The sequence below is a fragment of the Homo sapiens genome, chromosome 2, assembly GCF_000001405.40.
Source record: "Homo sapiens chromosome 2, GRCh38.p14 Primary Assembly".
Lineage (NCBI taxonomy): Eukaryota > Metazoa > Chordata > Mammalia > Primates > Hominidae > Homo > Homo sapiens.
The window spans coordinates 188,984,976-189,009,552 of NC_000002.12; the positions used below are offsets into that span (position 1 = coordinate 188,984,976).

At 34.7% G+C, this 24,577-nt stretch overlaps 1 protein-coding gene and 1 non-coding gene across 2 annotated transcripts in view, besides 1 other annotated feature; both read left to right on the top strand.

Annotated features, from left to right (window-relative positions):
- COL3A1 (collagen type III alpha 1 chain) overlaps positions 1-24,577 on the top strand; it is a 38,374-nt gene that overhangs the window by 10,603 nt on the left and 3,194 nt on the right. The window contains exons 3-48 of the mRNA NM_000090.4: positions 222-272; positions 690-803; positions 2,084-2,164; positions 3,106-3,159; positions 3,615-3,668; positions 4,421-4,474; positions 5,121-5,174; positions 5,332-5,385; positions 6,029-6,082; positions 6,512-6,556; positions 6,694-6,747; positions 7,209-7,253; positions 7,912-7,965; positions 8,386-8,484; positions 9,063-9,107; positions 9,259-9,357; positions 9,566-9,619; positions 9,749-9,856; positions 10,071-10,124; positions 10,717-10,815; positions 11,150-11,203; positions 11,423-11,521; positions 12,190-12,243; positions 12,361-12,414; positions 12,725-12,778; positions 13,291-13,344; positions 13,699-13,743; positions 14,310-14,408; positions 14,495-14,602; positions 14,867-14,920; positions 16,422-16,475; positions 16,561-16,614; positions 17,323-17,376; positions 17,980-18,087; positions 18,436-18,489; positions 18,759-18,812; positions 19,007-19,168; positions 19,282-19,389; positions 20,375-20,482; positions 21,231-21,284; positions 21,370-21,477; positions 21,962-22,015; positions 22,525-22,632; positions 22,910-22,963; positions 23,060-23,167; positions 23,949-24,246. Of these exons, the coding sequence (NP_000081.2) occupies positions 222-272; positions 690-803; positions 2,084-2,164; positions 3,106-3,159; positions 3,615-3,668; positions 4,421-4,474; positions 5,121-5,174; positions 5,332-5,385; positions 6,029-6,082; positions 6,512-6,556; positions 6,694-6,747; positions 7,209-7,253; positions 7,912-7,965; positions 8,386-8,484; positions 9,063-9,107; positions 9,259-9,357; positions 9,566-9,619; positions 9,749-9,856; positions 10,071-10,124; positions 10,717-10,815; positions 11,150-11,203; positions 11,423-11,521; positions 12,190-12,243; positions 12,361-12,414; positions 12,725-12,778; positions 13,291-13,344; positions 13,699-13,743; positions 14,310-14,408; positions 14,495-14,602; positions 14,867-14,920; positions 16,422-16,475; positions 16,561-16,614; positions 17,323-17,376; positions 17,980-18,087; positions 18,436-18,489; positions 18,759-18,812; positions 19,007-19,168; positions 19,282-19,389; positions 20,375-20,482; positions 21,231-21,284; positions 21,370-21,477; positions 21,962-22,015; positions 22,525-22,632; positions 22,910-22,963; positions 23,060-23,167; positions 23,949-24,246 (3,541 nt within the window). The remainder of the gene's footprint in view (positions 1-221; positions 273-689; positions 804-2,083; positions 2,165-3,105; positions 3,160-3,614; positions 3,669-4,420; positions 4,475-5,120; positions 5,175-5,331; positions 5,386-6,028; positions 6,083-6,511; positions 6,557-6,693; positions 6,748-7,208; positions 7,254-7,911; positions 7,966-8,385; positions 8,485-9,062; positions 9,108-9,258; positions 9,358-9,565; positions 9,620-9,748; positions 9,857-10,070; positions 10,125-10,716; positions 10,816-11,149; positions 11,204-11,422; positions 11,522-12,189; positions 12,244-12,360; positions 12,415-12,724; positions 12,779-13,290; positions 13,345-13,698; positions 13,744-14,309; positions 14,409-14,494; positions 14,603-14,866; positions 14,921-16,421; positions 16,476-16,560; positions 16,615-17,322; positions 17,377-17,979; positions 18,088-18,435; positions 18,490-18,758; positions 18,813-19,006; positions 19,169-19,281; positions 19,390-20,374; positions 20,483-21,230; positions 21,285-21,369; positions 21,478-21,961; positions 22,016-22,524; positions 22,633-22,909; positions 22,964-23,059; positions 23,168-23,948; positions 24,247-24,577) is intronic.
- On the top strand, positions 10,655-10,717 carry MIR3606 (microRNA 3606). Its single transcript, NR_037401.1, has one exon. It is a non-coding gene; the product is annotated as a microRNA 3606 (primary transcript).
- Positions 16,509-17,708: an enhancer, noted in NCBI's record as "P300/CBP strongly-dependent group 1 enhancer chr2:189866210-189867409 (GRCh37/hg19 assembly coordinates)". NCBI's record gives its function as "activates an origin of replication core promoter dependent on BRD2, BRD4, P300/CBP, MED14 and CDK7 cofactors, with strong dependence on P300/CBP, by STARR-seq in HCT116 cells {active_cell/tissue: HCT116}" and the evidence as "EXISTENCE:reporter gene assay evidence [ECO:0000049][PMID:35650434]".

Here is a 24,577-nt window from a genome sequence, read left to right on the forward strand (position 1 = left end):
TAAACTGTACATCTTCAATATTCATATTTAGACACATGAATAGCTCCTATATCATAGGAGCCTAAAAGGGAATGAAAGTCATGTTCATCAAATAGCCATGTTTGTATTACGAGTAAAAAGTGACCGTTTCAATTTAAAGATAAGGATTGGTTAGAATCTGGGTTACTAAATAATATGCAAATTCTGTGTCTTGTTTAACTTGTTTCTTTTCCATTTATTAGCCTACTCGCCCTCCTAATGGTCAAGGACCTCAAGGCCCCAAGGGAGATCCAGTAAGTAAACATTCTTCAGTAGAATAAAATTAATACTAATGATAATTCTAGTAAGAGTTTGCTTTTTCTAGATTTGAGCTTTCATCATACATTCTCTTCATTACCACATATTTGAATAATGGCACCAAACAACAGACTGAGAATCCATAATTGTACGTGTAAAGATTTCAATTTCCCAAACTTCATATTATGTCTTCACCCCCATGATCAGTTTAAAGAAAATGTGTAGGTCAATATACAAAGGAATACATTATACTTAAATTATTCACAAGATTTTGATTAAAAAGTATGTGTTATAAAGAAAATATATTACTTATATTGTTTCCTAATATTATAAAGTAGAGAAACAACAATCTGATAATGATTGTGAATCACCAGGATTTTTCACTATTTAATTTATTTTTATCTCTTTTTTAGGGCCCTCCTGGTATTCCTGGGAGAAATGGTGACCCTGGTATTCCAGGACAACCAGGGTCCCCTGGTTCTCCTGGCCCCCCTGGAATCTGTGAATCATGCCCTACTGGTCCTCAGGTATAACAATTACGGTACTTAAAAAATTCCCTCATAAAACTATCTAGTTCATCTTCTTTCTTTACTCGATATTACGTCTCACTATTATGAGTTCTTTGTATCTGTTCTCTGATTCAGTGTATTTAATAAATCCTTATTTAGTGCTTCTATGTATTAGGCACTATTCTAAGTACTTTATAAGTATTCATTTTTCCTCATAATGCTAATGTCATTGCTACTATATCCTTGGAAAATTTGCTAATTTCTCAGCAGATATATAGCATACACATTATGTTTAAGAAGTGAACTATGAACTTAACAAAAAAAATTAACCTAAATAATTTAGTTAGTACTGTATCCATACTTTATTCTCCTACTAATACCAATGTCAAAGCCTCTAAAAGTTTAGACAAAAAGAAGTTGAAGAACTGTTAGTATTCCTATTGAACAGGATTATTTCTGCCTATGAAACTGCTCTTGCTAATACTTCAGAGCACACCTTGCTTCTCCTGAAGCATGGCAGCCAAATAAATCTGCAGGTAAAACAACCAAACAAATAAATATGACAAAATTTCTGTTGCATGGAATTAGGTGAAACGAGAAAATATATTACACAAATTTTTGTGAGGTTAAAAAGTGCATTTCAAAAAGCAATTCAACAAGAACCAAAGTATATTGTCTAAGTTATTCTTATTCTAGTAACCAAACAGAACCTAACTCTAGACCTGGAACTTAGAATTTAAAAAAAGCTTCAAAGAAATCTAATAAGCATATGAGCCTTTCTACTATTTTTTGGTTTATTTTCTATGGAGATGTTTATTTTTGAGTGAATCTTTTAGTCATATTAACCAGAATCCAGGGGATATGAATTTTACTTGTATCATTAAGTGTTTGAAAAATAATTTGACTTCATTTTTTTGCTCAAAATGAGAAGGTGTATTATATGATCTCGAGACTCTTTTGGCCTCAAACAGCCTATGATCCTATGTTTGTAATGATGTAGCTACTGCTTAGAAATAATAGCTTAAGTAAGCGCATAATAGGAAAAATTGGGGGGAACTAACATTGAACACAGTGGAAAGATTTGTGCATCCCACAAGAAAATGCTTCTGTAGGATATCTAACGTCTAAATCTACAGAAAGACACGATAAACAAGATAATTAGTGAATACATACCACATCTTTTGGCACACAAAAACCTATCAGTAGACAGTAGATGTTGCATGCACTTCTAAATGCTTTTTAAAAGAATTATGAACTGTCTGTTAAAATGATCATATCTATTTGTCTCCTTGCCACAGAACTATTCTCCCCAGTATGATTCATATGATGTCAAGTCTGGAGTAGCAGTAGGAGGACTCGCAGGCTATCCTGGACCAGCTGTACGTACAAATGTTTCTCAGCATTTTGGAGCTTTATTATCTTTCTGGTTTGTAAAATCTTGAATGGTTGCTCTTCTAGGAATTCAGTATTTTTATGGAATTGTACAAAATAGCTTACCCCTACTAAGGTTGGAAAAGAAAATGGTAGCATTATCATGTTCTTTCTATCTTATTCATATTATTAAACCTATTTTTAATCACATATAAATTTTTACTAAAAAAAAAAACCAAAGTCAACACTTATTAACATCTCAGAAAAGTGTTTATAAGAGAAAATGGAAATATACAAACTATTGTTTTATAAATTTACTATCAGTATTTAGAAACAGCATGTTACAAAACTGAAGCATACTGTTTTCAGCTTGCTGAAGGTTTTCTAGTTTAATCTGTATTTCTGAACAATGATAAATCAATTGTCCTATGTATGATGATTCTTGCATGATCATATAAATCTCTATGTCAATTAACTCTGTGATAGATATATCAACATAATTATGGGACTTTTGGGTTGATTTACATTATTATTTTAGATACTTGATTATAGGATTTCTAGTGTGCCAATAAATGTTTTTCTGCACTGAGTTTGGCTGCCAAGCGAGAAATTGCTTCTTCACCAGTGCAATATAACCCTAACATTGCAGGGATTTTCATAGCATTATGTACTAGTTTTTCCAGATTTTTAATTCCCTTCCTTAAGAGTTCAGGACAACATTTTATAACATTTATTAATAATTTATATAGAATCTGTGAGAATTTCATTACAGTAATGTTTGCTTGCTAAGATCTTCATTATAGATCTCATGAATAGTTATCAAAAAGTTATCAAAAGATGAGATATAGTTGTTCATAGTTTTAACAATGCGAGTGTCATTGCTTTGAAGCATGGATAAAGTGTATTTTGCATTCATTTATTTTGTTTTTCATTCAAATTCACATTCCAGGGCCCCCCAGGCCCTCCCGGTCCCCCTGGTACATCTGGTCATCCTGGTTCCCCTGTAAGTATAGCCATTGGTGGTGTTTTCTTCCTCATTTTTAGAAAAATCAAATTAATATATATTCTGCTATAATTCAGCCATTCCAGCATGCATAATCCCAGTTAACTAGAGAAATCATAACCAAGAAACTGATTAAGGCTTCAAAGATGGAATTCCATATTTAATTCCTTTCCACCAACAGTTATTAGCAATTGAAATCTTGGTAAAATTAAACCACATTAATTTGCATGTAATATGACTTTTAGTTCAAAACCATTCAGTTTTGATGGATTGCAATGAATGGAATGAAATACATTAACTTCATTCTGATCTAAAAATAATTTGGTCTCAATATTTATAAACTGGAGTAAAATTTGCTGATTACATTCACAATCCTGATTTCTTACTGTCAAGATGTAAATGAATTATATGAAGATTTTGTTACTTTAAAATTATTTACATATTCTACTCACTAGGGATCTCCAGGATACCAAGGACCCCCTGGTGAACCTGGGCAAGCTGGTCCTTCAGTAAGTAACAATTAAATTTATATTTAGTAAGTCGATAATTCCATATGGAACCTACCTTTGTTTTCTAAAACAAGTATAGGTCTTTACAGAATGAAGATTAAATTTACCCTTAAGTTTGTAAATAACGAATAGCATTTTATTGAGTCTTTTGGACTCTTTCAATTGTTAGCTATCTTAGAGACACTAGTTAATAAAGGAATTCCCTCATCATTAGCCATCAAAATAGTCCACTTCCCAGAGCTGATAAAAATTCTGTATATATTAAATATAGATTTCATTTTTCTGTAAACACTCAGTTCACTCATATCTAATCTACTGATAAATATAGTTATATATTTACATATGTAAATATACATATACATATATCTTAGACAGTAGAAATAAACATAATCTTAGAGAGTCCTTTAGAAGGATATGCTCTGTAAATAAGCAAGTAAAATAGTTTAAATACAACATTTCATGACATTTAGAAATACCTTTATATTTAGATATATTTAATATTCCTAAACGTGTAGAAATGCATTTGGATTTATAAATACACATACGTAATATATGATGCTTTTAATTTTTATTAACAGTAAGTTGATATAATAGAGGTATAATATTAACTCAGTAAGTATCATTTTCATTATCAGAAACATTAAAAGTATTTTCTAAAAGGAGGTTCCTTCCAGGAATACATACACTGTGTAATAATAAATTGTAACAGAAAAATTTACAAATCTATTCATTTTTTATTTCCTTATTTTCAGGGCCCTCCAGGACCTCCTGGTGCTATAGGTCCATCTGGTCCTGCTGGAAAAGATGTAAGTTTTTAAAACTTAAATAAGAATACAGCAAAATTTAACTTGGTGTATTCTAAACAGTATATGCTTTATGTCAGAATCCCAGAAGAAAAAAAAATGTTATTCAAAATATTGTTGTCTTAACAACATTTTAGTTAATACTAATTTTTGAGTAGCTATACAGTATTTGCGTTTCTATATATATCATTTGTTGAATTCCAAAATAAAATCCTTAAAGTGCTTTTTGACTGCGGAGAAGACTCATCCATTGAATATATTATTTAACTGGAGGAGAAATAGGTGTCTCTGCCTGCCTCTTTTAATGATGAAATTGATACCACTATTTAATGAACTTGAGAAGTTATAGATACCTTCAATTCAATGGCATTCCTTCTTTCCCTCTTAATCTCCAATGGCAAATTCTTTTCACTGGCTTATGTTATTTCAGTGATTAGAAGCACCTGCATTATCTCTTTATAAGCTTATATCAAAGTGGGAAAGGTCTTCCTCATGCCTTCTACCAAGAAAGCTGATCTCAACTATACATTTTGTGGAACCATTTTAATGAGTCCTTTGTGAGAAAAATGCAAAGTAACCATTTTGCTTATTGGCTACAATGTATTTTCTCATACATGAGCACCTACGTATTCTTTATTTCTCTACCTAGGGAGAATCAGGTAGACCCGGACGACCTGGAGAGCGAGGATTGCCTGGACCTCCAGTGAGTCTTCAGCATCTAATAAATTAATTGGAATAATCTTAGCTTGAAAACTATTATGTAATTCAATGGAATTAAACTTAAAAACAGAAAGTGTTTTACTACTAGATTGTGATTCTATTTGAAGGTTCATTAATATTTTTTCATTCATTATTTTTAGGGTATCAAAGGTCCAGCTGGGATACCTGGATTCCCTGGTATGAAAGGACACAGAGTAAGTAGAGTTTCTAAGTTGTTTACAAGGTATTCCACTGGGCTATGTTTACTTGCCTAACCAATTTTACTGGACAATTATGTGCCAAAAAATATGATTCTGACAATTAATTAATTTGATATTTTTAAGTCTACTAAGTTTGTTTGTTGACCAAACTAGTCATTTTTTGCAAAATAAAGGAGTTGATTTCTAGTGTATAAAGTACTCTTGAAAAATATCGTTTTCTTACTACCACTATCAGAAAAATAAAAACATTTTGTGAATTATGTTTTTTATTGACTTAATATGATTTATAGATTGAGTTGAACAACTTTATTCTATGCAAAATATTTCGTACATTCAACCAACTGTGCCTACAACCTATCAACTGAATTATAATAAAATCTATGAAACTCATGTTTGCTACTCTATAGTTAAGGCAACTTTCTTATCAGACTAAATTGCACTTTCTAGTTTTCATGTTTTCCTGTTGTAAAATCAGTATGAAATATCTTCAACCCCTTTAAACAAGTTTTAAATTATTTAAGCTAATTTTGCAAGTAGTGTTATGAAGACCAATTAGAAAAATACCATGTAAACTTTATCAATCATTCTAGATTATTAACAGATTTTAATAATTTTGCTGGTTTTATACATTTCCTAGGGCTTCGATGGACGAAATGGAGAAAAGGGTGAAACAGGTGCTCCTGGATTAAAGGTAAATCACAACAAAAATCATATTTTCATAAGTAAATTCATTAAATATTAAAGCTACATATAAGATTCATATTGTGAGCCTTAACTTGTTTTCTGAAATTTACCTGAATTTTACCTATTAGGTGTGAATAATGGTAACCAATTCAGATATTCTATTAACGCTTCCATGAAAAATGACAACTTGAAGAGTCTAGATTAGAAATAGTTGAGCATCTTAGTATAACTTATCAATTACTTCACTTTAGTCTTTAAGTTTTTAAATACAGAAATTGAGATTTCTGGTAAATAAAATACTAACAGAAAATTAATATTGTTAAAATGTATATCTTTTTCTAGGCTCTATAAACTTTTCCATAATATTCTGTATTTAAAAATATATAATATTTTCTTCCTCTTTTGTAAAATAGTAACATATTTTATATGTATCTAGGGTGAAAATGGTCTTCCAGGCGAAAATGGAGCTCCTGGACCCATGGTAATTATGTTTCTTATGTATAATTTTCAGTTTTATTATTAACCTCATTGTTACCTAAAACTGGCTTTGCTCCCACCCCAACTGTTCTTACACATGTCAAGATTAGAGTAAAACCATATTTCAATTTTACTCTGTAGGGTCCAAGAGGGGCTCCTGGTGAGCGAGGACGGCCAGGACTTCCTGGGGCTGCAGTGAGTATAGCTGCTAACATCACACAATTACAACCCAAAGTGACAGATTTTTACAGCCTCAGTAAAGTTTCAGGCTGTAAAAATATGTTAGGAAAAAGACCTTCCTACAAAATTATACTCAATGATACTGTGATAAAGTTTTGGCTATAGTTAAAAGGAAATGAATAATTGTTTTACAATTATTATCTCTATTGAGAATTTTTGTGTTAACTTTTCATATGTCATTTGAGCCATTATATCTGCATTCAGTCCTGAAAACACAGACTCCAATCCTTCTACATTTGATTGTTGCTGTATATATCAGAATTGTAATAATTGACTTTAAAATACATAATTATTAAGCAGATTTTAATGTACTTGAAGAAAACTCAACTCACTTGAGTCAGAATTTTGGTCAAAATATTACTCATGACCAGCCATTCAGAATTAAAAGGATATTTGATGTAAACTTCTCTTTTTAGGGTGCTCGGGGTAATGACGGTGCTCGAGGCAGTGATGGTCAACCAGTAAGTAACTTTCTATCTCTTATGTGTTGTAGGGTAATGAGAAGTTATGGATTGTGGATTATTTAATATTTTATATATGTATATACTCTTAGGTATATATATATGCATATGTATATCTCTAATATACACATTAGCATCTCTGTTGACCATTTTTACAATTTAAAAAGTGAAAAAATATTGTAGCCCCAATACTTAATATTGTATATACACTCCTGTGATTAAAACTGACACTGAGCCCATAAACAAAATCTAGGTTCTGACACTCATTCTGCTTGATCAACTGCTAACATTTGAATGGTGCTCCCAATGTTAGTTAATATCCTATGTAAGACATGGCACTTTAAAGAGTCCTACAAAATGGATAAAATAGATGTTACCTCCATTTTGTAGACTGGAGTACAAAAGCCCAGGGAAAAGTAGCCTGCACTAAGTCACAGAATTCATGGCAAAGTAGGGAGAAACCAAGAATTTCTAACTTTAGATTTCACTCTTTTCTTATTTTACCACATTGTTTCTCTACATAATATCCATAAAATATGAATATCATTTTTATCTGCATAAATATCTTCTTTACTTTATATGTGCTCACTTATTTACTAGTATGTCAGCTTTCATTTAGTTGAAAAAGAGCTCTTGAAATTGTATTTAATTTTTTCAGGGCCCTCCTGGTCCTCCTGGAACTGCCGGATTCCCTGGATCCCCTGGTGCTAAGGTAAACATGTGTTTCTATAGAAGGGTATAAAAATATCTTGGAGGCAAGAGAAAAGCATTAGATTGCTTCTTGCAACTGATTTTTTTAATCAGTCAAATGGATAGCTTTTATCTATACATGTCTTTAAAGCCCTATTCTTGATTCTAAAAGAGGTGTTGTCCCTAGTATTCAACTATCTTGATATTTCTTCTGCTACCTTCTTTTTTTCCCCAGACTCTTTCTAGGAAACTGATAATGCAATCACACACACATAGTTACATTTTTCTCTGCCTTTACGATTAATGATTCCTTGCTTTACCTGCAGTATAGAGTCCCACTACTCCAACTTTTGGGAGATGTGTTTAAACAGGACTGAAGGGTGAAGTGGCTAAGTGAGTAGAAGTGGTAAGAGAAACTGACTACACAAGGTTTTACCATTAGGGTGAAGTTGGACCTGCAGGGTCTCCTGGTTCAAATGGTGCCCCTGGACAAAGAGGAGAACCTGGACCTCAGGGACACGCTGGTGCTCAAGGTCCTCCTGTAAGTATCATAGTTGAGAGGGAGTAAGCATAGTTTCATGCTTACTCCATGAAAGCATAGTTTCATGCTTACTCCATGAAAGCATGTGCTTCAATATGGCTATCAGTGAAAATTACTTTGAAAAAATTGTTGCTTAGTGCTCTAAAATGATCCTCCTGTGACACATACTGATTTGATTAGTAGTAAAAATGATAGTTTTTGACTGTTGCACTATTCCAGAATTCATGATTTTTTATGTTTATATAAAAGAATAGAGGATAGACTAGTTTTCTGATGCTTTCAAGAATGTGCCCCAAGCTAATCACCAATCATAAAAATTCAGAGAAGAACCAAATTCAAAATCTCTTCTATTTATGTATCATTTAATAATTTATACGAAGTACATATTATCTCTAATTTATTTAGATAATGATGATTCTTTTGACCACATTTCATATGTTGTGTTATAGTTGGAGGATTCACTTAATCTCTACAAAGCATAACACTCATCGATACATTTATTTTCACACAAACAACTTCAAATATATACGAACTATTTGCATTACTATTAATACATTATCTGTTTTTTGTATACTTAGGGCCCTCCTGGGATTAATGGTAGTCCTGGTGGTAAAGGCGAAATGGTAAGCTGTCCCCACTCCTCAGCCTTATCTCATCCACACATTACTGGCTTCTTTTGCATTTTGCATGACAATAGATTTGTGATATTTAAGTGAGATATTCATAAAAGAACATTCAAGTTCGGCTAATATAGTGTCTTTGGTTTGTTCTTAGGGTCCCGCTGGCATTCCTGGAGCTCCTGGACTGATGGGAGCCCGGGGTCCTCCAGGACCAGCCGGTGCTAATGGTGCTCCTGGACTGCGAGGTGGTGCAGTAAGTTGCCTTGTTTTTTCTCTGTTGACTGAAAGGTATAGTTTAATTCCATCAACAAAAAATTAATAGCAAAATTTTGCTCCTGTTCAGTTGAATTTATATTGACTTCACTCTTGTCTTATAACTTATAACTGAATTATGTGTTACTGGTGATGATTTGTTAGTCGAATCCTCCCTGTGTTTCAACCAAGACTTTGTTATACTTTAGGGTGAGCCTGGTAAGAATGGTGCCAAAGGAGAGCCCGGACCACGTGGTGAACGCGTAAGTTTTACTGCAACAGATCTGGTTATTTCTTGAAAAAATGCAACATAATTAGAAAGTAAACAGGTAAAAACTTTGAACTAAATTCAGTCATAATTTCTTTATTTTACCATCTTTTTTTTTTTTCAGGGTGAGGCTGGTATTCCAGGTGTTCCAGGAGCTAAAGGCGAAGATGGCAAGGATGGATCACCTGGAGAACCTGGTGCAAATGGGCTTCCAGGAGCTGCAGGAGAAAGGGTACGTTTTCCATGGGGCATCTAAAAGAAAAGCAGCATCACTGTCATCTAAATAAAACTACCTTCAGGGTGAGACAGCCAATTTTTCTTAAGTTGAGTGTTCAGTGAAAATATTGTTTAAAGCATTCTATGACATAAAAATATTTGCCACTCAAGAATTATGAAAAAGAATTGAAATCCTTTGGACTGAAATACTTGTCTTTCATTATTTTCAGGGTGCCCCTGGGTTCCGAGGACCTGCTGGACCAAATGGCATCCCAGGAGAAAAGGTAGATAACTTTAGTTTCTATGTTCCTAAATGCTAGCACCACAAATGGGCAGTTCTTGTATACAATTTCTCATTCATGAAAACCTAAATATCTGAAGAATATATATTAGAGTTAAGAAAAATTCCTAATATAATGCATCCTCTGTTCAACAACTTTCCTGGCTTTGTAACTAAAGCCACTTACTTACCCTCTATGAGAATCCTTTACTTATCTGTTAATTGGAAAGCATTTATCTGAGCATCGTTGCAAGAGTACAGTAAACTAAAATGCCTGAAAAGTCTTTGAAAACTCTAAGGTTACATCAAATATGATTTCATAGCATTAAGATATTTGATTTTAGCTGCACATAATTATATTTTTAAGCACAGTGAATACTGTTTTATTAAGCATGTGATGTTCACAAAGTTGCTTTAAAATTTTTTCAATATGGCAATCCAAGCTAAGATAACTGATTTTATGTATAAATGTTTCAGCAACACACGAACCCTTTTTAAAAGTTCAAATGACGTCCTCTCTTTGTAACCAAAATATTGTTGCTATCTAGGTTAGTGAAGGCTATTTTAATTTTTTTAAAATTTCTTTCACTACTTAGGGTCCTGCTGGAGAGCGTGGTGCTCCAGGCCCTGCAGGGCCCAGAGGAGCTGCTGGAGAACCTGGCAGAGATGGCGTCCCTGGAGGTCCAGGAATGAGGGTACAGAGAAACATTTGTTTGAATGACACTTTAATTTAGACAGAAGAAAGGCAAGACAAATGAAGACAGATCAAAAGCAACTTAAATCAATCAGATTACATATTTTGTAAGGCACCAAACAAAACAAAATTCTTTTAAGTAAACTTAAGCCGAGATAGTTCAAGGAGAAGAGAAGATAGAACACTTGCCTTAGATACTTTATAGACAGGAAAAAAGATGTGCAAATCTGAGGCTTCACATGTAAGTGAAAATATCAAAATCATACAAATAGTGTATGTAGTAATTTTTTATTATTTCATTTTAAATCACCTAACAACTGACTTCTTTACTTCAGGGCATGCCCGGAAGTCCAGGAGGACCAGGAAGTGATGGGAAACCAGGGCCTCCCGTATGTACATTTTTAAAATCTCATTTTAAAAGGCCAGTTAAAATGGAATGTATATGTTGGCCTATCCTTGAGTGTGTGTGTGTGTGTGTGTGTATATATATATATGTATATGTATATCTATATATATACACACACACACACACACACACATACTATATATATAGCATGCTTTAATCTTCTCTTTATCAAACCTTTATTAATGTAATTTTTTCTTATTAGGGAAGTCAAGGAGAAAGTGGTCGACCAGGTCCTCCTGGGCCATCTGGTCCCCGAGGTCAGCCTGGTGTCATGGGCTTCCCCGGTCCTAAAGGAAATGATGTGAGTTCCTTCATTAATTTCTTCAATAAATATTTGACTGGAAGGCTTTTATTTTCCATATGGAGTAAAGAAATGGTCAAAACTCAGTCTCCTCTTCAAAGCATGGAGGAGTATATGAAAATCAAATTGCATGTAGGAAGGGAGCTAAATATATAATTGGTTATGGTTGTATGTGTGTGTATGGAGCAGGCAGATAAAAAATATGAAACAGGCTGGGTGCGCTGGCTCACGCCTGTAATCCCAGCACTCTGGGAGGCCAAGGCAGGCAGATCACCTGAGGTCAGGAGTTCTAGGCCAGCCTTGCCAACATGGTGAAACCCTGTCTCCACTAAAAATACAAAAATTAGCCAGGCATGGTGGCATGTGCCTGTAATCCTAGCTACCCAGGAGGCTGAGGCAAGAGAATCACTAGAACCCGGGGGGCAGAGGCTACAGTGAGCCAAGATTGCGCCACTGCACTCCAGCCTGGGCGACAGAGCAAGACTCAGTCTCAAAAATATGTATGTGTGTGTGTGTATATATATATATGAGACATATATATATGAGACATATATATATGAGACATATATATATGAGACATATATATATGAGACATATATATATGAGACAATAATATGATTAGTTATTGCCCTTTGAGGATTAGTAAATACCGACCACTTCTTCTTTAGGGTGCTCCTGGTAAGAATGGAGAACGAGGTGGCCCTGGAGGACCTGGCCCTCAGGTACGTAGCTTTCCTCAATTTATTTCTAGCCTTCTAATAGATGCGTTCATCTCCAACCTTCTGACTTCTCTCTGTAATCTGTATTATTTCTACTTCCCTAACTGTTCTTGTTTTTAGGGTCCTCCTGGAAAGAATGGTGAAACTGGACCTCAGGGACCCCCAGGGCCTACTGTAAGTTCACTCATATAAAATTGGAGATGAAAATAGGGTGGAGGTGGGGCAGGAAGAATGCTTCAAAAATTACATAATCTCTGACACCATGTTGTTACAGTTTACCAAAGCAATGATGAAACTTGCTGACCTAGTTATCTAGCTAAATGCTAGCATTGAGTTTAGAGTGTACATGTGTGCTTTGGGTCCAGGTCCTCCCTTTTCTTCACATCACTACTTTTATAATTAAGCAACAGGCCTGTTGAAATGGATACTGTAGACTAAATATAAAAGGATGTTTACAACAGAGTGTATCATTATACTTTTCTAGGGGCCTGGTGGTGACAAAGGAGACACAGGACCCCCTGGTCCACAAGGATTACAAGTAAGAACTTGTTATTTAAATGTCACGGCATATCTGACTGTCAAATTTTTTTGTGTCCCTAATAGATTATAATTTATCTGAAGCTTAACTTGTGATTCTGTCTTTCATCTGGAAATAAAATTTTAGGCAATGTTAATAGGTAGGCATATCTTCCATGTCCGTTCCAGAGCACATTAATAAGTTATTTAAAAGAATTAATGAAACTCAAATAATTCTATTTGGTTACACTTATTTTTATTATAACATAAATCCATATAGCCAAGTCTATCCTGCCATGCTGGTCAATACATTTTTACGTGTAGCAATTGAAAGAACAGAGAGAGATGAAAATGGGTTTGTAAAATATGATTATCACGTATGTGTCACTGGATTTTGAGTGGCACAACGTTTCTACCCCTACAAGACCACTGGAACTTTTTTTTAATATCTTGCAGAAACATGTGTACATATGAGAAGCTTTTCTATAAGCCATGTTTGAGGTAATTACCTAATACAAATATGATTCTTTCTAGGGCTTGCCTGGTACAGGTGGTCCTCCAGGAGAAAATGGAAAACCTGGGGAACCAGTAAGTTACGTTTCATTATTCAAAACTCAGAAACAAAAAGAATACACACTGTTTGTTTGTCAACTATTAACTTCTTAATTTTCTTATGCCATGATATTTGAGATTTAACATTTAGTTTTGAAATATTATCAAAACAAAGACAAATTATTTAAAAGATAACTATTATATAGAGTTTGAATTTTACCATAAAATAGAGAGTTCATAGTTTCAAGATTTGAAAAATTATACAGTATGCCAACATGACAAATGTGTATTTTGCTTATATTTACATATTTGCTTATATTTACATATTTGCTTATATTTACATAAAATGCACTCTGATATGGGCCTAATCATATAATGCCAATCTCCCAGGGTCCAAAGGGTGATGCCGGTGCACCTGGAGCTCCAGGAGGCAAGGTAGTATTTCAATTTATTCTCTACCTTCTTCAGCAGGTTATAGAGCAATTGATTAGTAGTATATTTTTAGTATATCAAGCCAAAATACTCTTTCTTTAAAAGAGCATCATTGCAAATGTTTGGTAAGTACACTTAGAGAAACTCAAGACACTTTCAATACATTAAATTTGCTTTAATCTGGAAGGTCCAATTCTCTGACATTCATAATCACTACAGAATCAAATACGGGCTTAAAATTTCAAACGGAAAAATATTGCCAATATGTTGATTCTATGTAGGAAAACTGTTTTGGTAAAAAGAACTTTAAAATGTTGCTCTTGTGAATAAAATAATAAGTATTTCAATGACAGCTCACACTTAACCAGACTAAGTATCCAAGTTTTATTTTAGACACTCTTTTAAGCTTCTAGTTCCCACCCAGCTGTTCAACTATTTTTAAGTATACAAATTTCTAGATTGTTCACAATATAATAACCTAGTGGCCTGATTCAAAATGATGCAAGTTAAGGTGCTTTGTTTTTAGCTTTGGGTTGTCTAATATGGTTATTTACATATTTTTGTCACAGGGTGATGCTGGTGCCCCTGGTGAACGTGGACCTCCTGGATTGGCAGGGGCCCCAGGACTTAGAGGTGGAGCTGGTCCCCCTGGTCCCGAAGGAGGAAAGGTAACTCCACAGCATTCCATTCACCTAGGTTTAAAAAATGCATTTGATTTCCTTCTGATCATTTATTATTTCTCACTTATTTTCAGGGTGCTGCTGGTCCTCCTGGGCCACCTGGTGCTGCTGGTACTCCTGGTCTGCAAGGAATGCCTGGAGAAAGAGGAGGTCTTGGAAGTCCTGGTCCAAAGGGTGACAAGGTGTTGACTTGTTTTCTCTTAATTGTTCAATAAATCAGTCATTGTAGGTTTTAAAAAAAGCAACACTCCTGGAAAGTAATCGACTGTATTTTCAAAATTAATGTTATCATTTTATAGTAAGTGAAATTTAAGATGGATTCCTAAAGCAACAATGAATTAGAACACCCAATATATATCCCTACAAATCCTGAGAGTTACTCCTCTTCTTGGCTGATTTTCACTGAAGATACTTTGAATCTGATGACATTGGCTTTTATTTGACAGGGTGAACCAGGCGGTCCAGGTGCTGATGGTGTCCCAGGGAAAGATGGCCCAAGGGTGAGTATTCCCAGTGAGGAGAAGCAGGCCTTATCTATATGTCATATGGGACAGTCCTGCACTTCAACTTTAATTTTTTCCAAAAACTACTCAAGAGAAATTAGATATTTTACCACCTAAAGACCCGAATGACTTGATTTATAATGAAATTTGTGGTCTATATCTATGGCTACTTGATAGATCTACAGTGACTAAAGAATGAAAAAGCCTCAAGAGTACGATAAAGGTCACAAACTAGCATTTGTGAGTCACTAAAATCTGAGATAATCACTGAAATTTAGGATAATCAATGCTGCTCATTAAGAAACTAAAAGTCATCAAAATTCAATATAGTAAGTACTCCTCATTAATAGACTTAATATTTAAAAATTGTATAGTATTTAGCAACAAAAAGGAATGAACAATTGATGCTGTACACACAGCAAATTATACAAACCTCAAGGACAACATACTCAGTGAAGAAAATTCAGTCACCAAGGGATACATACTGCATGATTCCATTCCTACAATATTTGCAAAATAACTTCCTTGTAGAGATGTAGAACAGATTAGTGGTTGCTAGCAGTTAAGAATGAGAAAGAGAGAGATGGATGTGGCTATGGAGACATGACACAAGGGAGTCTTATGGTGATTGCACATTTGAGTATCTTGATTGAGGTGGTAGTCAGGCACATCTACACATGGGATAAAATTCTATAGAGCTACATATACACACACATAAATGAGTGTGTGTATCACTGGTGAAATCTGAACATGCTCTATGGATGGTATCAATGTCAATTTCCTAGTTTTGATATTATATTATAGTTGTGTAAGATGTTAACATTAGGGGACGCTGGGAGAAAAGTGCACAGAATTTCCCTGTATATTCCTTTGCAGCATCCTATGAATCTATAATTCAAACTAAAAGTCAAAAACAAAACAAAAAACATCTCCTAAATATGATTATAATTAAGTCTTTTAATAAATTTATATAATAGTTGCCTTAAAGAAATTCATAAATGCTTCGCTTTTGACAGACTAAGTAGATAAGCCGTCATTCAGGTAAAAAGAGTGCTCAATACTTCAGTTTTGTAATATAAGTAAAACTACTATTTGAAAATTTCAAGTTGAAAAATTTAATATGTACAATGAGACTTTGAGAAAACATTTAAATTATCAAGCAATTGAATAAAGAAATGTACTTTAATTTAAAAAGACATTACTGTAAGATCTTACATGACATCCTATTTATCTTCTACAATGGAGATAAAGATAAATGAATCAATAAACTATTGCTGAATCCTATTTTCTCCCAGAGTTATCCCCAAAGAGGCTTGTGTTTACTGAGCTCTGCAGTATTTACACATTGAGAGAAAAGCATAGCATTCAAGCCATAAAAATTTTTAAAAAGTATGTTATCTAGTTTATTAGGTATCTATGTCTATATACTTTCTGTTTGATTAATGCAAAAAACGATATTTGTATCTTCAAAATTAAAAAATATTTTTATTTCCTCTAGGGTCCTACTGGTCCTATTGGTCCTCCTGGCCCAGCTGGCCAGCCTGGAGATAAGGTAACCCTTAATACTACCTGGATATAAAAAGAAAATGTCTCTCTCTTTTGGATGCAAGACAGTGACATGGCTTCTCTTTTTCCAGGGTGAAGGTGGTGCCCCCGGACTTCCAGGTATAGCTGGACCTCGTGGTAGCCCTGTAAGTGTTAAAGACATTCTCAACATACTTTTTAACCCCATACAGACAGTAGCTACTTATGCTTCCCTTTTTGGCAGTTTTGCCCTCAGTTCCCTGAGCCTCAATTTGGAGATATTATCTTCAAAAACCATATAAGGAACCATATAGCATGCAAGGGAATGTTAAATTTCTTAAATCTAACATTCACAGGAGACCATTTTAAATCAGGATTTCTTTCCTAAATAACTTTGGAAAAAATACATGAATTGCACAAGTAGTACATGTTTGTAATTAGGTATTTCTTAAGCCTATAGAATCTTTGCCTGAGACTCCTTCTAGATTTAAAAGTCTTGACCTTCAGGATTTAAGACTCTGGAAAGATATTTAGTAAATGGTTTTTAAAAATAAATCAGTTAATTTTTCAGTTAAGCTTCTACCATATATTGAAATACATAAATATCTATATATATAAATGTGTTAAATACTTTAAAATTCTCAAACTATTTTTCTTGCAAATAATATCACAGTAGGAGGCAGAAGGAATCAATGGTTCTGGTATTTTCCACTCCTAATTTTATTGAGAAGTGGCAAAGTCTTCAGAAGTTTATTGGCTACTCTGCACATTTCCTGCTTAAAGGAAAGAAAAGATAAGATGATAAGATGACATTTCCTGCCTAAAGGAGATGACGCACACTTCACTGTGACTAAGGAGGATATTTTTCTCTTCAGGGTGAGAGAGGTGAAACTGGCCCTCCAGGACCTGCTGGTTTCCCTGGTGCTCCTGTAAGTGTGAATATTTATACATACATGTCCCATAGCCCAGGATCTCTATCTTGCTGAAAAATTACAAAAGTATAGTCAAGTTTGGTTTCTAGTCTCATTTTAGCTGCTCATTCCCTATAGGATTATTGTACCCCTATTTTGTTTTACTTTACCCCTATTGTCGCTCTTTGAAAGATGGAAATAAAAACACCTGTCCTGCTTTTATGACTGGGTAATGAACTAAAGCAGTATCATGGATTTAAAAGCACTCTGAATTTTTGTAAATTCTTCCATTATAAGATGGTACTAATTAAAATTTTCTCTTAAATCCGGTCTTTCTCAAAAAAATTTACTGGTGCTGATTTTCAAATGTTTAATCCTTAGAGACACTTCCTCCCTCCCTAATGGCAAATAATGCACAGTTTATGCTTTCTTGGTCATGTTCTTTGATCATGAAAATATTTTGATTGGCTTCATTTTGTCATGTCTTCAGAAAGCCTTGTTTTTAAATTTTATTTCAACTCCTTCCATCTGAAGAATTCTATATTCTGAAGAGAAATAATAATAAGCCAATTGTATCATAAAGAGTGTCAGCTGAGAGATTGCTGTTGTTGTTGCATGTAGGGACAGAATGGTGAACCTGGTGGTAAAGGAGAAAGAGGGGCTCCGGGTGAGAAAGGTGAAGGAGGCCCTCCTGGAGTTGCAGGACCCCCTGGAGGTTCTGGACCTGCTGTAAGTTCCTTCCTCTTTCTCTGTCTATCTATCTATCATCTATCTATCTATTGATTATCTGTCTATCTCTCCCTCTCTCTCTCCCTCTCCCCCCTCTGTAAGTCCTAAGTGTTCTAATGGAAAAACATGGAGGTTTATCAGTAATTTAATATTTTATACTGAGATAGCATGTCATAGTGTCAAGAATATAATCTTTATATGAATATAGTCCAAGTATGAATCTCAGCACCAGCAATCTAAAAGTTATTTTAACCTCTTCATAGAGTTCCTGGTTTTCAAAGGCTTAATGCTTTTCCCAAATTTTGATTTTGGTGCTATTCTTACATAATTTCCTTCCATTTCATATAGGGTCCTCCTGGTCCCCAAGGTGTCAAAGGTGAACGTGGCAGTCCTGGTGGACCTGTAAGTATTGATCCTCTTAACTATTATTGAAAAGCATTAATTGATATCAACCTGTATAAAAGCTGCATTTGAGACACTAGTTCCATAAAGAGAATGTAAAAATTGTAATCGCTCATTCATACATGAGTTATATGTAAATTCCAAGGGGAAACACAAACCATAAATGACTTTCAGGTACAATGCAGATCATGCCACACATTATACTTTTTGTTTGTTGTACAGTTATTTGTTCTACTTTTGAAATTCAAAAATATATTACCATTTCACAGGGTGCTGCTGGCTTCCCTGGTGCTCGTGGTCTTCCTGGTCCTCCTGGTAGTAATGTAAGTAATTGTTAAAGTCTTTTCTCATCATACACTTCAGAAAGAGCATTCATGTATGTATAGGATGAGAAACTTACACATTGCTACTTATTTCTCTAGTAAGTCTCAAATAAAATTATTTGAAGTAAGTAAAAAAAGAAAGAAAAAATGCACTTTTTATTATAAATATTCAAATTTCAAACAATTATTTGTAGGGTAACCCAGGACCCCCAGGTCCCAGCGGTTCTCCAGGCAAGGATGGGCCCCCAGGTCCTGCGGGTAACACTGGTGCTCCTGGCAGCCCTGGAGTGTCTGGACCAAAAGGTGATGCTGGCCAACCAGGAGAGAAGGGATCGCCTGGTGCCCAGGGCCCACCAGTAAGTAACTTCATTTTTTTAAATTGATTCTACTATTTTGATTTTTATCACAAATCGATTAGAGAAAAACACTGTCACATAAAGATGAGCTAAGTCTTCATTATCTGTATTAGGGAGCTCCAGGCCCACTTGGGATTGCTGGGATCACTGGAGCACGGGGTCTTGCAGGACCACCAGGCATGCCAGGTCCTAGGGGAAGCCCTGGCCCTCAGGGTGTCAAGGTGAGTATAGTCATTTTCCACTACACTCTTCCTTCCTTTGGTAGCCTTCAGAGATCACTTAACCATATCAAGGATGAAAAGTTTTTCTGTCACTGGAGTAAATTAGCCAGGAGATAATTTTTTTTTATTTTTAGATTTTTAAAAGCATAAATTTTAATAAATGGCTCCAGAACACAAAACAGGGCATATCATAGACAAACCTTGAATATAAACACAAATAAATTAATATGATGAAAACAATATTGCCATCTCAAACACCTCTTTTAGGAAACTTGTGAATATTCTTCAATTTGTTGACTGTCAGTTTTGAAGGGGGAAATAGTGTTAGCTTATAGATCTTGGAAAGTCTTTCATTAATGCTAGTTATCCATCCATTCAAGTCATCTTGCACTCCTGACTCTCTTTCACTAGTATTATATTCCTATAACATTCTAGTGCTTAGCATCTAAAACATTCGTTTGGTAAACAGGATAATAAAATTGCATTTTTATTAGGGCTCGTATTATGGCACTTTAAGTACTTCTTTCAACAAAATGTTATGTAATATTGTCATAAAATTAATATTTCATATTTAAGTGTGTTCAATTGATATGATATTTCTGGTAAGTGTATATTCTTCAGATAGAGACAAATAACCTAATTTTAAGGATCACCATACACCTCTAGTTTCATGATGGCTCATTATTGTTTTTCCCTATACTAATCATGTTTATGTATTCATCTCAGATTACAATGTACAGTATTCTGAATTAGATAATCAATGTAACTATTCAGCCCTTTGCCATCCAGAGTCACTGAGCAAGTTAGAAAATGCAAGAAGCTTGCTCCCCCATATTTTTTCCCATAGCAGGCATAGTTTTAATTTTAAAATTCAATGAAGATTAAATAAAATAAGTTTTTTACCTGAAAATAAAGATATCTGATAACACCATTTTAATTGATTTCTTAAGTTGAAACAAAATGTTTTTCATTCCTTTGTATACAGGGTGAAAGTGGGAAACCAGGAGCTAACGGTCTCAGTGGAGAACGTGGTCCCCCTGGACCCCAGGGTCTTCCTGGTCTGGCTGGTACAGCTGGTGAACCTGGAAGAGATGTGAGTAGCAGTTTTTATTCAACCAGCCAGGTAGAATTTGATAATTTATTTCAGCAAAGGTGAAATTGAGCTTTAATGTCTAAGAGTGTAAATATGGCCACATAGCAAAGTTCTTCTATCTCTAATAACAGAAATTCTTTCATTACAATTTAGGATAGACTTAAAAGCTCTTGTTCATTAGTATTTACCCAATGAATAATCATTTGTGGAGAAAATATTATCTCTAACTAAATTAGGAAAAAAGTTAGTGGGGAGAACCACAATTGACATGTTTTCTGAGTGAAAATATTCTACGGTTATCTATGGTTAGTCTTTTATTATTTTTAAAGAATTTAAAATTAATATTATTTATAATTAACAAATCATAATTGTATACATTTATAAGGTACAATGTGATGTTTTAATATATGTATACAATGTGGAATGATTAAAGCAAACTAATTAAACTGTAGATTTCCACTAACAGTTTAGATCACTATTTCTTAAACTTTTATTTATTAGAGGTCTGTAAAGACTCTTTTTGGATATCATTTTTCTAATCACCTCTCCTCCATGAATACACTAACTATCTGTCTGGACATTGTGACCCTTTGAAGGGCCACACTGCTTTGTAATATCTAAGATTTCTTACCCCCAAGAACCAATTTTAACCCCCTTGAGAATTATATTGCCCTGCTGAGAATGCATGGATGAAATGGCATTTGGAAGGTTTCAAGAAATTTTATTTCCTTTCTCATTTTTTAATCAGGGAAACCCTGGATCAGATGGTCTTCCAGGCCGAGATGGATCTCCTGGTGGCAAGGTATAATAAACACATGTGCAATTGATTTGTGTTATCAAAATAAGTGATCATCATGTTTATTTTGTACCTATGAATTTGTTCACAGGGTGATCGTGGTGAAAATGGCTCTCCTGGTGCCCCTGGCGCTCCTGGTCATCCAGGCCCACCTGGTCCTGTCGGTCCAGCTGGAAAGAGTGGTGACAGAGGAGAAAGTGTGAGTTCCCAAAAGCAGCATCTGTCTTGTTTGTCTATTTCCTTCAATAAAGACATTTGTAGGTAGAAGGTAGAATGTCAGATCTGCCAACCAAAATATCCACTGTCATTTGTTTTACAGTTTTAATGCTAGTTGTTCCTTAGACAAATGTGTGAATAAGTCAATACCAGAAGTACTTGGCAGTAGTCAATAAAGAATTCATTACTGAAACCCGAAATCATATTAATCAGACCAACTATCTATATGCTGGGTAAATGCAAGGCCAAGTTAACAGGGCTCTTGCCCAACTTTTCTGTCTAGATCCCCTGAGAAAGCTATAAACAGGGCTTTAGCACTTTGAAGGCAAAAACAATATTAACTTCCAATAATTGCATGCATACTATAATTCTATTATAATGAAATTATTTACTTTTGAAAACGAAATTGTGTCAACACATAAAACTAGTTCCGTGTATGTCTTCTCAATTGAATGTTTTCATCTTAGGGCCCTGCTGGCCCTGCTGGTGCTCCCGGTCCTGCTGGTTCCCGAGGTGCTCCTGTAAGTTTTGTCATTTTTTGGTTTTATTTTGTTTTGTTCTTTTTTTAACTCATTCTACAGTGTAGGAAATATTTTATTTTCCAGCGTGTTCAGGAAAAAAGAATGAATATATATATATATATATATATATATATATATATATATATATATTTGTTCTATCTATAGATAGATGATAGATAGATAGATAGATAGATAGATAGATAGATAGATAGATAGATAGAACAAATATAAACTTTCCTTTAATGACAATGATATGGAAAGCAGTTCAGGATCTAAAAGTTCTTTGGAGCCAAGGATAGAAACATCAGTTGTTAGGGATCCATGCAATGATCAGTCCAAAATGAAAACAACCACAGAAACAAATCTCATTTCCTATCTGAAGTGTCTGTTGATGGGGGATTTTTTAGCTGATAGAAAGCCATAAAATAGATTTAATTATTATAAATTCTATTTTATTTTTCCAATATGTATGTGTGTATATGACTTCAATTCAAAATATGTTTCTAAAGGGTCCTCAAGGCCCACGTGGTGACAAAGGTGAAACAGGTGAACGTGGAGCTGCTGGCATCAAAGGACATCGAGGATTCCCTGGTAATCCAGGTGCCCCAGGTTCTCCAGTAAGTGCATTCATTTTGTTGGAAAATCCCTTCAATGTATACAAATTTTAGAGATTAAGAGAAGAAAGCTTTCCATCTCTAAAAATATGTACTAGAAGAGATGAGAAATGGATTTGAAGGCTAATTTGAAACAACAATCAGCATGACACAATGGGAAGATTAAAGAAAGAAAAAAAATTTCATCATGATCCCCATGTTTCTTGATCTGATCTTGAATGTACAGTTTCCCAGTGCTTTTTAAGGCCTTCACTCCTATGTACACTTCCTTTCTTTCCAGGGCCCTGCTGGTCAGCAGGGTGCAATCGGCAGTCCAGGACCTGCAGGCCCCAGAGTAAGTAGCACAGAAAGATATTACAGGTCCACATGTTTCAGATGTCTGCATTTCAGAAAGATATTCTGGCATTGTGATGTCATGATACTTTCTTAGGGACCTGTTGGACCCAGTGGACCTCCTGGCAAAGATGGAACCAGTGGACATCCAGGTCCCATTGGACCACCAGGGCCTCGAGGTAACAGAGGTGAAAGAGGATCTGAGGTAAGACATCACTTATACGTATGTGTATTTAATTTGCTACAATCTTCCAATTTTCAGAAACACAGCGCATTATGTTTAAATTGAAATAGAGAGACGCAATGCATCCACTCAATTTAGAAACTGAACAATGACTTTAAGACATTCTCCATCACATTAAAAATGTTTCTACCACACTATAACAGGAGAAAAATACCTTTTTAAAAATTTGATCAGGTATCCATCGTATCAGAATAATGACATCTGCCCAATTAACCAAATAAACCCTGTCCACATTGCTATCCCACTAGAGATCTCAGAATTACAACATTCATAATTATCTGCGTTTATGTAGTGCATTTTACTTCTCAAACAGCTTCCATGGTTACTATTTTGTTAATGATACTATCATTCCTAATACTTTCTATTCCATGCCTTTGGGTAAATGAAATAAAAACAATTATCCCAACAAATTACACTCCCCTCTGTCATGTCAATATTGGAATTGTAGCTCACAGGTGTTTGCTTACATCAGTCATCCAGAAGGAAGAATGATAGAGAAAACTTGTGCTCTGACACTACTGATTCTTACATAGTGGAACAATATCTTTCTTGATAATGAATTGTAGTTATTATAAATCGGTGATCACGTGACCCTAAAGGCACCCAAATAAATCTTTAGTAAAATAATTCTGATGACACAATGAATGAATTATTTTTAAGGCATTTTCTTGGACTAGCAATGTATTCTTAGAGTGGCGACTGAATGTGCATACCTCAATGATCCATGTTTTACTCATTCTAGGGCTCCCCAGGCCACCCAGGGCAACCAGGCCCTCCTGGACCTCCTGGTGCCCCTGGTCCTTGCTGTGGTGGTGTTGGAGCCGCTGCCATTGCTGGGATTGGAGGTGAAAAAGCTGGCGGTTTTGCCCCGTATTATGGAGATGAACCAATGGATTTCAAAATCAACACCGATGAGATTATGACTTCACTCAAGTCTGTTAATGGACAAATAGAAAGCCTCATTAGTCCTGATGGTTCTCGTAAAAACCCCGCTAGAAACTGCAGAGACCTGAAATTCTGCCATCCTGAACTCAAGAGTGGTATGTTTGGTAGTCTTTCATCTTCATGGCAATAGGATTACAGAGAAAGCTGCTTAGATTAGAATGGGAACGAAAAAACATCTACTTTCAATGGAAAGCTGAAATAGTACTTTAAGAAAGTTAACTGAATTGAAACTGCTTGATATAAAAGAGTAAACTTTGCAGATGTAAAATATAACATAACTTCAGATCATGCCAAATACAGAAAAATATAAAGACATTTTTGTAGAAGTTGTAGTATAAATTGTAAGTTATTTGAGTATAAAGTAACATATCTTTTTTTCTCAGGATTAAATATACATAATTTGATGCAGACAATTATAATCTGATT